A 13,610-nucleotide genomic window follows, 5' to 3' on the forward strand; every position below is an offset into this window, starting at 1 on the left:
GTCACCTCCACTGTGGATTGTCTGTCCCTCGTCCACACCATTTCTCCAGTCCTGGGATCTGTTCCTGCATGCATTCGCCTACCAGATACACACTTATCGAGCAACACACTAACGCAGGAAGAATGTACCAAAAAATAGAAGGAGAGTTGGCTCCTTCCACCACTAGAAGTGACAAGTGACAAGGCAATTTAATCATTAACTATTAACTAAAAGACCAATTTGAGATGATGCTGTTGATGTAATATTATTATAAGGATAAAGCCAGGCCGGGTGCCGTGGCTCACGCCTGTAATCCCAGCAGTTTGGGAGGCTGAGGCGGGTGGATCGCTTGAGGTCAGGAGTTCAAGACCAGCCTGGCCAACGTGGTGAAACCCCATCTCTACTAAAAATACAAAAATTATCCAGGCATAGGGGCACACACTGGTAACCTCAGCTACTCAGGAGGCTGAGGCAGGAGAATCACTTGAACCAGGAAGCGGAGGTTGCAGTGAGCCGAGATTGCACCACTGCACTCCAGCCTGGGAGACAGAGTCTCACTCTGTCTCGATTTTTTTTAAAAAAGGATAAAGCCAGCCCCTCTCTTTCACTCTTCCACCGTCTCACAAGCATTCCTGGTCAGATAGACCTAAATGTAAGCATTGTGGGCTACTGCACAAAAAGATCACCCGGGTGCAGCTGCAGTCATTGAACTAGAAAAGCCGGAAAGATCCTGGGTGATGTGGAACCAATATTCCACACCGGTGCATCTGAGGATGCTTTAACAGCATCTTGAAATAATAAGACCAGTGCACAGATCTATATTTGTAAGGATGTGCACAGAAGTGCCTTTTATAATTGCATAAAAGTTCATTTTATTAGGGCACTGATTAGAATAAACTATGGTTAATCATATGCATAATACTATTCAGCCTTTTGAAATAATGATGTTGGCCTACAGATTACATGGAAGGATATCCAGAATGTGTATGTCCAGTGAGAAAAGCAGGTCACTGAACACTATATACTGGGTGATCCGGTTTGTATAAATGTATTATGGGCAATGAGATCACAGTATAAGGCGTACAGTATGGATGACATCTAGTTTTGAATCCTGCTATATTCCAGGACATAACACAGTGATTAACAGATTAACACATAGTAGTTTATCAATAAATATTTGTTGAATATACACTTAATTAAAAATCTGGACTGCTAACCCCCTAGTTACTAGTAATAGGAAGATGGGTGATAATTTTTTCTTTTTTAATGACTTTAAGTTTTATTTTTTTCTACAAGAAACGTGCTGAGAAGAGGACTGCAATGACTGCTTTCAAAAAACACCAGAATAAATACATACGTAGTGTAAGCAAGCGACCACTGTTGTATCAAAAGCCCTTTGTTGTATCTGTTGGTGGCGGAGGCAGCCAGCGGTTAACTGAGGTTCTACTGAGCTCTGTGGACCACAGAGTTGTCTTCTCAAGTTTGCTTCTAGGGACAAATTAGTGACTTTATGATGTCAATCTGTCCCAAGTCCATGGCCAAAGAGAAAAAAATAATGCTGAAAAAGTCAAAATTCTTAGAATTCTTAGAGAATTATAAAACTGCATAGGGGCTGGGTGTGGTGGCTCATGCCTGTAATCCCAGCAATTTGGGAGGCTGAGGCAGGCAGATGACCTGAGGTCAGGGATTTGAGACCAGCCTGGCCAACATGGTGAAACTCCATCTCTACTAAAAATATAAAAATTAGCTGGGCATGGTGGCGTGTGCCTGTAGTCCCAGATACTCGGGAGGCTGAGGCAGGAGAATCACTTGAACCCAGGAGATGGAGGTTGCAGTGAACTGAAATTGTACCACTGCACTCCAGCCTGGGCAACAGAGTGAGACTCCGTCTCCAAAAAGAAAACAAACAAACAAAAAAAACTGCACAAGGATATGAATTTCTGAATAGATTTCTGAGTCACATTCCACTATCCAGAGAATAAAGATAAGTTCATAATTATGGTGTCCAGTATCAAGTACATACCAGAAAAAGACTTTTTAAAGGATGCAAGTAGATAACAATTCTTTCTTTCTTTCTTTTTCTTTCCTTTTTTTTTATTTTTTGAGACAGAGTCTCGCTCTGTGGCCACGCTGGAGTGCCGTGGCGCGATCTCAGCTCACTGCAACCTCCACCTCCCGGGTTCAAGCAATTCTCCTGCCTCAGCCTCCCAAGTAACTGGGACTACAGGCGTGCACCACCACTTCCAGCTAATTTTTGTATTTTTAGTAGAGACAGGGTTGCACCATGTTGGCCGGGATGCTCTCAATCTATTGACCTCGTGATCTGCCAGCCTCAGACTCCCAAAGTGCTGGGATTACAGACGTGAGCCACTGAGCCTGGCCGATGACAATTCTTTCTACCACAGTAAACACAGGAGTGGTAACAAAATGATTATTCTCAGACTAAAATGAAAACTTAAAACCAAATAAAATCCCTGAGCTTCCAGGATCAGAGAATGGCACAGAGAGCAGTATAAGAGGCCAGGAGAAAATATAAGATTTTAAATATTTTATGTGTACCTTTCTTTTTATTTTCGACTGACTAAAAAATAAAGGAAAAATATTTAAGTTAACTCACAAAATACTTTTTTTAAAAAAAGACATGGAGGACATTAGGAAGAAGGGAAAGAAAATTAGGTCGAAAGAAATAAAGTGAATCCAGGGATGAGATTAATACACAAAATGTTTGCCTTGAAAGTCCTTTACACTTGCTAGATATGGGTCACAATTTGACTCAGCTTCCCAGCAGCCTATGCAAAGAAAAAACAAGACCAGCTGTATTACTCACAATGTCCATTGGATAAAAACAAATCCAGTGCTCAGAAGAAGACAAATTCCAAGACCAGAAAGGTATTTCTTCCATGTGTTTCTATCCAAATGGCCTGTGTCACGTAGTAAACAAGGCCCTAAAACCATCTTTACAGTAAACAAAACAATGAGTACCTCGAGGATTGTTAACCTCCCTTATTTAAGTTAACACATTAACCCATGTGAATGTAAATAAAGCAATCCTACAGGGGTGGAAAGCATGGGGTCATCCAAGCTGCCATATTCAATCCCAAAATAAATGCTAATGAGGAATGGAGCTCTCTCGTGCATGAATGAATATGTGACTGCCCATGATATTGTGATACAATAAAAAATATATATTTAGTCTTCATCCCACGTTCCTGGCACAGAGCTCCTAAAACCCTTGGAATTTCTGAGTGATAGGAGTGAGGAGTATTTGTTACTTATCATAAGCCTTCTTCAACCAAACCTGAGTTTATCTAATAAGCTGACACTTGGAGGCTGGGGCTGATGGCCAGAGGAAATAACCATGTATTTTAAAGGGTTGGAACTTTCAGCTCCTTTATTCCCCATTCCCCTGACCCCTACTCCCCAAACACCCCCACCTCCAGAGAGTGGAGAAGGGCTACAGATTGAGGTAATCATTAATGACCAAAGATTTAATCAATCATGTCTACATAATCAGAACCTCTATAAAAACCCCAAACGGGCCAGGTGCAGTGGCTTATGCCTGTAATCCCAGCATTTTGAAAGGCTGAGGTGGGAGGATCACTTGAGGTCGGGAGTTTGAGACTAGCTTGGCCAACGTGGCAAAACCCTGTCTCTACTAAAAATACAAAAATTAGCTGAGCGTGGTAGCCTTCACCTATAATCCCAGCTACTTGGGAGGTTGAGGCATGAGAATCACTTGAACTCGTGGGATGGAGGTTGCAGTGAGCTGAGATCATGCCATTACACTCCAGCCTGGGTGACAGAGCGAGACTCTGTCAAAAACAAACAAACAAAAAAGGCATTTGGAGAGCTTCTGGGTGGGTGAGTATCCATTCTGGGAGAGTGGTGCACTCCAACTTCATAAGGACAGAAACTCCTCTGCTCGGGAGCCTGTGGGACCTTTCCCTTTGTACCTGCTCCTCACCTGGCTTCCATCTGTGCCCTTTATTGTATCCCATATAATAACCAGCAAACACAAATTAAGTGCTTCCCTGAGTTATGTGAGCTGTTAGAACCAATTACGGACCTGAGGAAGGGTTCATAGGAGTCCCCAATTTGTAGCCAAGTCAGACAGAAGTGTGAATAACCTGGGGGCCCACTATTTGAGATTGGCGTCTGAAGTGGGGGGCAGGCTTGTGGGACTGAGCCCTTAACCTGCATGCTTTGATGGAACTCTAGTTTGTTCATGCTAGAATTGAATCACTGGACACCCAGCTGGTATCCTCAGAGAACTGGAGAATTTCGTGATATGGAAAAGCCACGTATTTGGTGCCAGAAGTGCTGTGAGTAGAGAGCACGCTTTTTCTTTGTACTGCCATGGAGACAAGTCTTCCTAAATGTTTCTTCAATTCGACCAAATGTTTGCTAAGTATTGAATAGCAGTGAGTTTGAGGTTGTGGCTCTGATCTAACAAGGATCCAGAATATTCCACATTGCTGGTTAAGTGTAAATCTCAATGTTTGAATAGACAGCTGCGCAGGGTTAACAACCTCTTCTGAAATTCAAGGGGCCCAAATAGAGGCCACCAGAACCCCCACAGAGCGGGGCCAAGCAGGACCCAGACAGGCCACTCCAGTTTCAACTTCAGACTCACACACAAATGACTGGGCCCCAAATTCTTGTATCAGTGTTCCTGACCTTTTCAGGTTCAGGAAATATTTTTAATGCTCCCCATGTGTATAATAGTAATTGTACTGTTGGAATTGGTTGACTGAAAAATATACACAATGGCCAGGTGTTGTGGCTCACGCCTGTAATCCCAGCACTTTGGGAGGCTGAGGTGGACAGATCACTTGAGGTCAGGAGTTCGAGACCAGCCCGGTCAACATGGTGAAACCCCATCTCTACTAAAAATACAAAAATTAGCCAGGCATGGTGGTGGGCGCCTGTAATCCCAGCTACTCGGGAGGCTGAGGCATGAGAATCACTTGAACCCAAGAGACGGAGGTTGCAGTGAGCCAAGATCGCACCACTGCACTCCAGCCTGGGTGACACAGCGAGACTTCATCTCAAAATAAAATAAAATAAAATAAAGTGTACACAATGACAGACTCCTTGTTAAAATTTATGCATGTAATAAATACTCATTGTAGAAAACCCAACCACACAAAAATCAAAGATTTTTTTTAAATCACCATTTTGCTTACCTGGTGCCCAGATAGATATCATTCTATTGGAGTGGGAGGTCTTTTGGGCAGGTGGGGTGCCAGGGTCTATCTACTTCTCTCTAAGGAAGCCAACAGGGAATCAAATATTCTCTCTTCCAGGCTCTTTATAACTAGTACATAGTCATGTGATCTGAGCTTAGCCAATCAGATGCTCCTGCCAAGGGCTTTGGATTGTGAGGAAGTGATGCAAAGGCCCTGTGGTCAACCAGAGATTTTTCACAATGGCTGCAGCAGAGTCAAGAGTCCAATACCATGGTCCTGAGGGGCCAGCAGCAATAATGCCAGGGCCAGCATCCCAAGCTGACTGTTCTTGGTCTCCCTGATTCCAGCAGAACATCCCAGTGGGGATTCTTTGATATGTCCCTTGAATTAAGTGGCTGCCAGGTCCCCTTGAGAAAAGACCATGTGATAACATCAAAAAAATATTCTCTGTTTTAGCCCTTCCTTTCCCACAGGGGAACTGACCATGGACCAGGGAAACTACAGTGGGGAAAGGGATGATCCAGACCTTTGAGGGGGTTTGGGACAGTAACTGTAAACTGACACAGACCCCCTGGGGAACAGAACACTACTGACAAATTTGATGGGATTCCTGTTCATGGTAGGCCTGATGGAATCCTGAACCCATCACTTCTCCAGTGCCTGGGTGTAGAGTTGGAATAGATCCCCTAAGCTACAGGTGGAATCTCCACACTGGCTCTGTGACCCAAAAAGTAAGGGCTATTATGACAGAGGGAGCAAAGGGAAGCCCTTGGACCCTCCCCAGTCCCTTCAACAAAATAGCAAATCTAGAGGAACACTGCGTCCCTGCTGGGAACACAGATGTTGATATCACTGTGAATGAGTCAAAAGGGGTGGGTGTGTGTGTGTGTGTGTGTGCGCACGCGCGCATGTGGAGGCAGTGGGTGATTCCCCTCACAGCTCTACGTAAGTCTCCCGTCTTCTGGCCAGTGCAGAATGGTGGCTCCTGGAGGGGTGGACAGCAGCACATTGTCTGCATCTTGCTCGTGGGCTCTGTGCTGGGTGGACCTTAGCCACCTCACCATCCTGCAGGACATCGTGCTGGTCCACTGCACTGACCGTATCAGGCCTAGGACTTGGTGAGGTGCCTTAGATGCTCCAGAAGTTACTTATATTCACCAATGGCCTCCTTATGGCTTCCAATAGGAAATAAGTGAACGGGTAGATTAATTACTCAGTGTTTTATACAAATAGATTGGACAAGGCTTGGCTCTTAAAGACAGCAATCCCAAATAGCGGCAAGCTGTTTAGCTTTTTTCTTTTCTACTTTGTTTAATATATTTTCTAATCAAAGTATGTAATAATATGCATAAATTTTTTTTTAGGGCAAGTAGAACAGCTTTTTACAATGGAAACAAAGCCGCCTCCTGGTTTTCCTTCCAACTCTGAGCTCCACTCCAAAAAGGCCACCGCTTTTTTAATGTAAACTTGTTATTAAGGACATAAATCATAAGTGACCAGCTCAATACATTTTTACAAAGTGAACACACCTATGTAAACAACACATACTTTTAACAACTCAGGTTTGAGTTTTTGGGTGGTTACTTCCATGCAGCAAAATAAGATCCTCATGTACTACTTTATTTATTTTAGTAGTATTATTATTATTATCATCATTATTATTTTGAGACAGGGTCTTGCTCTGTTGCCCAGGTTGGAGGGCAGTGGCACTATCTCAGCTCACTGCAACCTCTGCCTCCCGGGTTCAAGTGATTCTCCTGCCTCAGCCTCCTGAGTAGATGGGATTACAGGAGCTCACCACTATGCCCAGCTAATTTTTGTAGTTTCAGTAGAGATGGGGTTTCACCATGTTGGCCAGGCTGGTCTCGAATTTCTGACCTCAAGTGATCTGCCTGCCTCGGCCTCCCAAAGTGCTGGGACTACAGGCATGAGCCACTGCGCCTGGCCTTAACTTTAATAAACCTATTTTTGAGTAGACAGTTCATTCCTGTGGAACAAAATTCAAAACAAACAAATGGATAGGCAGTGTTAAATGTCCCTCCCACCCATAAATCTTAACCTGTCATTTCCCTTTGTCAGAAGCCATCCTGTTACCAGTAGCTTGGATTTCCTTCTAAAGGCAATCTATTATTTGACCTATTTTAAATATTTTATTTAATAATTTATGTCCTATCTCAATATAAAACAATTTAAGGAAGATGTTGGGTTATACAATTTGAAGGGCAGAATTCCTCTCAAAGCAGTGAAAACTGACAACACCAAAGAAGTAAGGTGTTCACTGAGCTTTTCCAAATATCGTTAACAATTCATAGAAAGATACTAATTCTTTTGGCCTTTCCCTCATGGTAGCAAGATGGCTGCCATAGCTCCAAATATCAAGTCTTCACACAACATTCTGTGAAGCAAGGAAGGTGATGGCCCCAAAAGGGCCTGTCAACTTCCCTAGTCAGGGAAGGAAATCTTTCCTGGAAATCTCTCCTTGTCTTGGACTGGCTAGAAGTGAGCAGCATGCCCACCTCAAGACCAATCACTAGCAATGAAGAACAGTTGGCTTCATCTATTCACGCTTCAACCCCTGAGGCTGGGTCCATTGCTTTTACACCAAAATCAGGGCTCAGTAAGCATGAGTGGCCAATGAGCAGAAAACCAACAGTGTCTGCCACAGCCAGTACCTTTGTCCTGTCACTGTCTAAACCTGAAAACCAATCTAAACTAAGTTGTTAATCAGGCCATGGAAATAAATCAACCTTGGAAGAGAATGATGATAGCATACCTTCTAGACCTGTGCTGTCCAATATGGGAGCCACTAGCCACACGTGCCATTTAAACTTAACTTTACATTACTTAAAATTAAACAAAACTTTAAATGCAGTTCCTCAGTCACACAAGCCACATCTCAGCTGTTCAATAGCCTCATGTGACTAGTGGCTACTGTACTGGATAGCACAGATTTAGAACAATTTCTTCATTGCAGAAAGCTCTACTGGCAACCACTGCCTGTCCATCTGCCGCTACCACTGATAAGAGGCTTCTCTAAAGTGGTGAAGCGAGAGTTTCTCTAAAGTGGTGAGGTGGTGCCACCTTAGTGTCATTAGCAACACCGCCATCATCTTTGTCCAGTGCAACCTGAAATTGGTAAGCTGAACATCCTCTAGCCAGTGATCACAGAAGCTCCCTGTCCTGCAGAGTCACGTCAGGGTCAGTCACAGAGCTCTGACAAGATCTGGTGCAGAGGAACCTCATGTTTCCATGCACTCACTGAGCCCATCTTCCTGACCGGGTTCTTGATCCACCCCTCTGGGAAAGAGAGGCACTGGCCAGGAGCTGGCTTGGGCAACTAAGGTTATCATAAGATTATTTTAATGGTCACCTTGTTCTATATCAGGCACCTCATGAACGATGATCATGAAGTCACCCACTGCCCATTGCCCCAACACTTGCACACTTCCTATTTTTTCATCAGCCGGGGACCGAGGAGCTGCAGAAAGTGAACAGAATGAGACATACAGGTACAGGGGCAGGGCGTCTGTGGTGGGCACCGGCCCTCATGCCCACCCCACAGATACAGCTCACATTGTATTTGATAGTCTATAAAAGGGCACCTGCTCTGAGACTTGGGGGAGGAATAAGGTTGCCTCCAGTAATAACTGCTCTTTGCTCCACTTTAACCTCAATGGGCCTGACAGTTGAGGTGCCAGCTTGGGTGCAGTTGGTGCAGCCCTGTCCTGGGGGAGGGAAAGGCCAACCAGGGTCCCATTCAACTCTTAGAGACCATGGTTTCTTCCTGGCCAATTTTGGCTGGTGCCATTCTCCCAGGAGGGGACCTTGGGAGACTTACACTGAAGCTCTAACTTGATCTGGCCCAGTAGATTTGAAAGGAGGCCCAAATTGAGTGGCTTCGAAGTCACCATATGTCCTTGCTGCACAAATGAGCTGCTGTTCTCCTCCTCACCCCTACTGGGGCCTCAGATGCTCACAGATCCCCACGAAGTCACCTTGCAGCTGTGGCCACCAAGGTGACAGGTGTAGACACTCTCCCCACAGTTATGTGCCAGGTGTTGGCTGACGGAGGACTGCCCCCACTGTGATGCCCTCAGCCAGTACAGGTGTGTCCTGGGGGCCTGCCTGCCCCTCCTCCTGGCACCACTGACTAGTCCAGGGCTCAGCAGGAGCATGATAGGCACTGAAGCCTGGTCTCTGCCCGTCAGCATTTCCTGCAGGCTTCTTCAATCCCATTTATTCCTAGTGTTCCATTATTGGAACGCTAAGCATGTGGGAGTTATTTATTTCCTGCTGCTCAAGGTCATTGCCAAGGTCTGATTTTTCACACATGTCTGCAATTCAAAAAATTGCAACCTCCTGCATAAGTGGGTTAACAAACCTTCACCAGACCCCTAAAGTTCAGGCGAAATTGAGATATTTGACCCCCATAAGAACACCAGCTGGCACAGAGATCTGCATTCCTGGTGCCCTCATGGGAACCAGCCTGGGCCTGGCAGAGGAGGAAACGAAGTCCCAGCACACCAGCGAGCAGGCCTGCTCCACCTCAGGGGCACCCAGCACTTGTTAGACCCAGTTTCAAGTTTCCAGCCCCTCTTCCCACCTCAGCCTCTTTCCTCCGTGGGTCCTGGGGGCTCCTCCAATTTCCTTTCCCTCTGAGGTCTTCCTCATGTTAAAGATCTTCCTCCCTCCACCCAGCTCCCCAGGAAGCCAGAAAGTCTCCCCAGGTCCAGCCTTCCTTTTAGCCCCCAAATCAAACATCTTAGGGAAAAAGCGGAAAAGTACAGGGAGAGAAGAGAGGAAGGAAAGGAAAGAAGAGAGAAAGGGGGAGGTGGGGAGAGGGGAAGCGGGGAAAGGAAGAAAGAAGGAGAGGAGAATAGGGTGACAGAGTGTGAGTAAAGAGGGAAAAGGAGCTGGCAAGCAACTAGAGGGAGATTACTCCTTGTTTTCCAAACCAACACTTTCTGGTCACTTTTTTTTTTTTTTTTTTTTTTTTGAGACAAGTCCTTGATCTCTCACCCAGGCTGGAGTGCAGTGGCACAATCACGGCTCACTGCAGCCTCGACCTCTCGGGCTCAAGCCATCCACCCACCCCAACCTCCCAAGGAGTAACTGTGACTAGATACACACTGCCATACCCAACTAGCTGTTTGATTTTTGTTTGTTTGTTTATTTAGGGATGGGGTCTCGCTATGATGCCCAGGCTGGTCTAAAACTCCTGGGCTCAAGAAATCCTTCCACCTCAGTTTCCCAAAGTACCGGGATTACAGGTGTGAGCCACCACACCAGTCTCTTATCACTTGATTCCCACCAAATTCTGTTTAAATGAACATGAAGAGGTAAAGTATTTCAAAAATCCCAGTTTACTTTATATCTTCATTGAACACCAGAGAAAGAAGAAGTCCATTAATTTTATGATGTTTTTCTAAGGTGCGGTGGGAGAGGAGGAAGAAATATTCTTGGCATCTTGCCTTTTTTTAAAAAAAAAAAAAAGATCTTTGCAGTTTCCTGTTAATTTAATACCAGAACCTTTGCTGTGTAAATAACACAGATAAAGATAAACTTTACTGGCCCTGGACTCCAACCTTCGTTTAACATTCCACCCCCCTCTGATCCATCCCGCATCCCGCCTATGGAAATTTGTAATTAGTTGTGGAGATTTAGAGGCTGAGAATATATAGTTCAGGAGGCAGAGCATGTTGGTTTTAGACAAGCCTTGTAAGAATGTGCTAAAAATCCCAGTATACCTGACAGTGCTTCTCTAGAACTTGTCTTTCTCTCTTCCTCAGAGGTGACCTGGATGGGGTTAATTCCCTTTCTGGTCAACTTGTAGGTTTCACCCTGGCTCTGCCACCCACCCTCCCAGTTTATTATACCCACTTAGGCTGTGCTTTGCTGGCATGGCCTTGCACTGTTATTTAGACAAGTGATTTAATCCCTCTTACTTGCTATTATTGAGCACTCTTAGTTCCTCTTTTTTTTTTTTTTTTTTTAAGATAGTCTCACTCTGTCACCCAGGCTGGAGTACACTGGTATAATCTTGGCTCACCGCAACCTCCGTCTCCTGGGTTCAAGCGAGTCTCCTGCCTCAGCCTCCCAAGTAGCTGGGATTACAGGCACACACCACCATGCCCAGCTAATTTTTGTATTTTTATTGGAGACGGGGTTTCACCATTTTGGCCAGGCTGGTCTTGAACTCCTGACTTCAGATGATCTGCCAGCCTCAGTCTACAAAGTGCTGGGGTAACAGGAGTGAGCCACCATGCCCAGCCAGATTTAGTTCCCTTTTTGATAGGGCACTTCCTCCAATAGTGTTTTCAAAGAGGGGCTATATGTGATACGCCTTCTGATTCTTTATATACCTGATAATTTAGCTAGAAATCCAAATCTAGGGTCAAAGTTATTTTTCTTTGATACTTTAAAACAATTTTTCCATTTTTTCTTAAACCCAATGTTGTTGCTAAGAAATCTGAAGTCAACCAGATTTTTGTTCCTTCCTCAGTCCTTCTACTACCCAGCTTCTGGGAATACAGGTGTGATGGCCCAAGCTTTAGCAGCCAATTTGGATTATGAAGATGTCAGAGGGCAATAGTGACTTGGTATGAAATCTGAGTCTTCAAACACCTAGTAAAGCAGAACTATTATACTATTTCAGCCATAAACTGTCCATCCCCAAACGTCTACAAAAGAGAAAAAGAAATTTTCATTGTTATTAGTGTTGTCTGTGTTATTAAGAAATGAATCTTAATTCATATATCCATTAAACCTGCTTTGTTTTATACTTTCCAGAAGCCTAACTGTTTTTTATTTTTTATTTTATTTTATTCATTTATTTATTTTTTGAGACAGAGTTTCGCTCTTGATGCCCAGGCTGGAGTGCAATGGCACGATCTCAGCTCACCAAAACCTCCACCTCCTGGGTTCAAGCCATTCTCCTGCCTTAGCCTCCCAAGTAGCTGGGACTACAGGCATGCACCACCATGCCTGGCTAATTTTGTATTTTTAGTAGAGACTGGGTTTCTCCATGTTGGTCAGGCTGGCCTCCAATCCCCGACCTCAGGTGATCCACCTGCCTTGGCCTCCCAAAGTGCTGGGATTACAGACACAAGCCACAGCGCCCGGCCCCAGAAGTCTAATTATTTTTCCCAGTGAATTCATGTTTCCCTAGATATCAGCTACTTTGGTTGGCGATAGGTACACCTGGAAGAGACTAAAACCTAGGCTCTTCCTATATATCCCACCTGGGAGCTTAAGGAATGGGGGTGTGATGGGACTTGCCTCTGGCATCAAATGTGAATGTAGCCACTCCCCATGTGCCACCCTCACACACACCAGACACCCCACTCAGGGAGCTTCTGGGCACTCTCCCCTGGCCAATCCTCTTTCATGAGGCAGGTCTCGTGGTTGGAATTCCTGACCCATGAAGTGGGAAGAAGAGGCTGCCGGGTCTGGTTTTTCTGTGCTGCTAGCCCCAGCCTGATATGCCATCCCTGGCTAGCACAGCTGTTTTCTGCCTCCCAGCAGTGCTGGGGAGATGGGGTTGAGAAATGGTCTACTCAGGCCAATGCAAGCAAAGAAAAGAGCACAAGTGTATAGCGTTCACTCAGCCTATCCCCCTTCTATGGCACTGAGGGGAGGAGGCGACAGGCCTTCCCTGGTTTTACATTGGTTTCTCAGAGTCCTTACCAACTCCCCTCTTGCTTCTGCGGCGTCTTTAGGGTACTATTCAGAGAAAGGTGCCAGCCCTTTAAGTACATTATCATCTTGTCACTTTCTGCTTTAATTTTACATTTCATTACAAATTACGTGAAATGTAATACTCAGTTCTTCAGTTGCACTCGCCAGATTTCAGGTACTCAATAATAGTCACATATGGTGCAGACAATAAAAAAGTTTTCCATCATCACAGAATGTTCTATTGGACAAGGCTGACCTAGATCCTTAGAAGGAAGGGAAATGCATTCCTGCTTCTGACCTGGCTGGCCCCTTGCTCCCCACGCAGATCAGAGCACCATCCGTGTCCTGCATCTGGCCCCCTAGACTTTCTGCTTTACGGAAACAGTCTGGGTTTCAACCCCAGCGCCTGGGGTGGTACAATAAGTATTTGTGGAAATAATGGACCCTCGGTCAGTTTTTGCTAAATGTTGAAGCCCAAAAGGAAAGCTGGGTGGCAGAAATAACCCCTGCGTGTTCTCTTTTATCTCACCTTCCTACCCACTTCTGCGCCCTCCGCCCCCTACCCCCCTACCTCCCACCCCACCTCGGCAAGACCCCAAACTGTGCAGGACTCTGCTCCAGGTCTCCAAACGATCTTATCTAGTGAGGGGATAATTGTCTGTCTTCCCAACCTCGGCTGCCCAGCGCCTGCACATAGTAGGTGCGCAGTAAGTATGTGTGGGATGGACGAACAAATGAATGAATGAATGACTCTCTGTTTCCCCG

This window comes from Homo sapiens, chromosome 2 (assembly GCF_000001405.40).
Source record: "Homo sapiens chromosome 2, GRCh38.p14 Primary Assembly".
Classification (NCBI taxonomy): domain Eukaryota; kingdom Metazoa; phylum Chordata; class Mammalia; order Primates; family Hominidae; genus Homo; species Homo sapiens.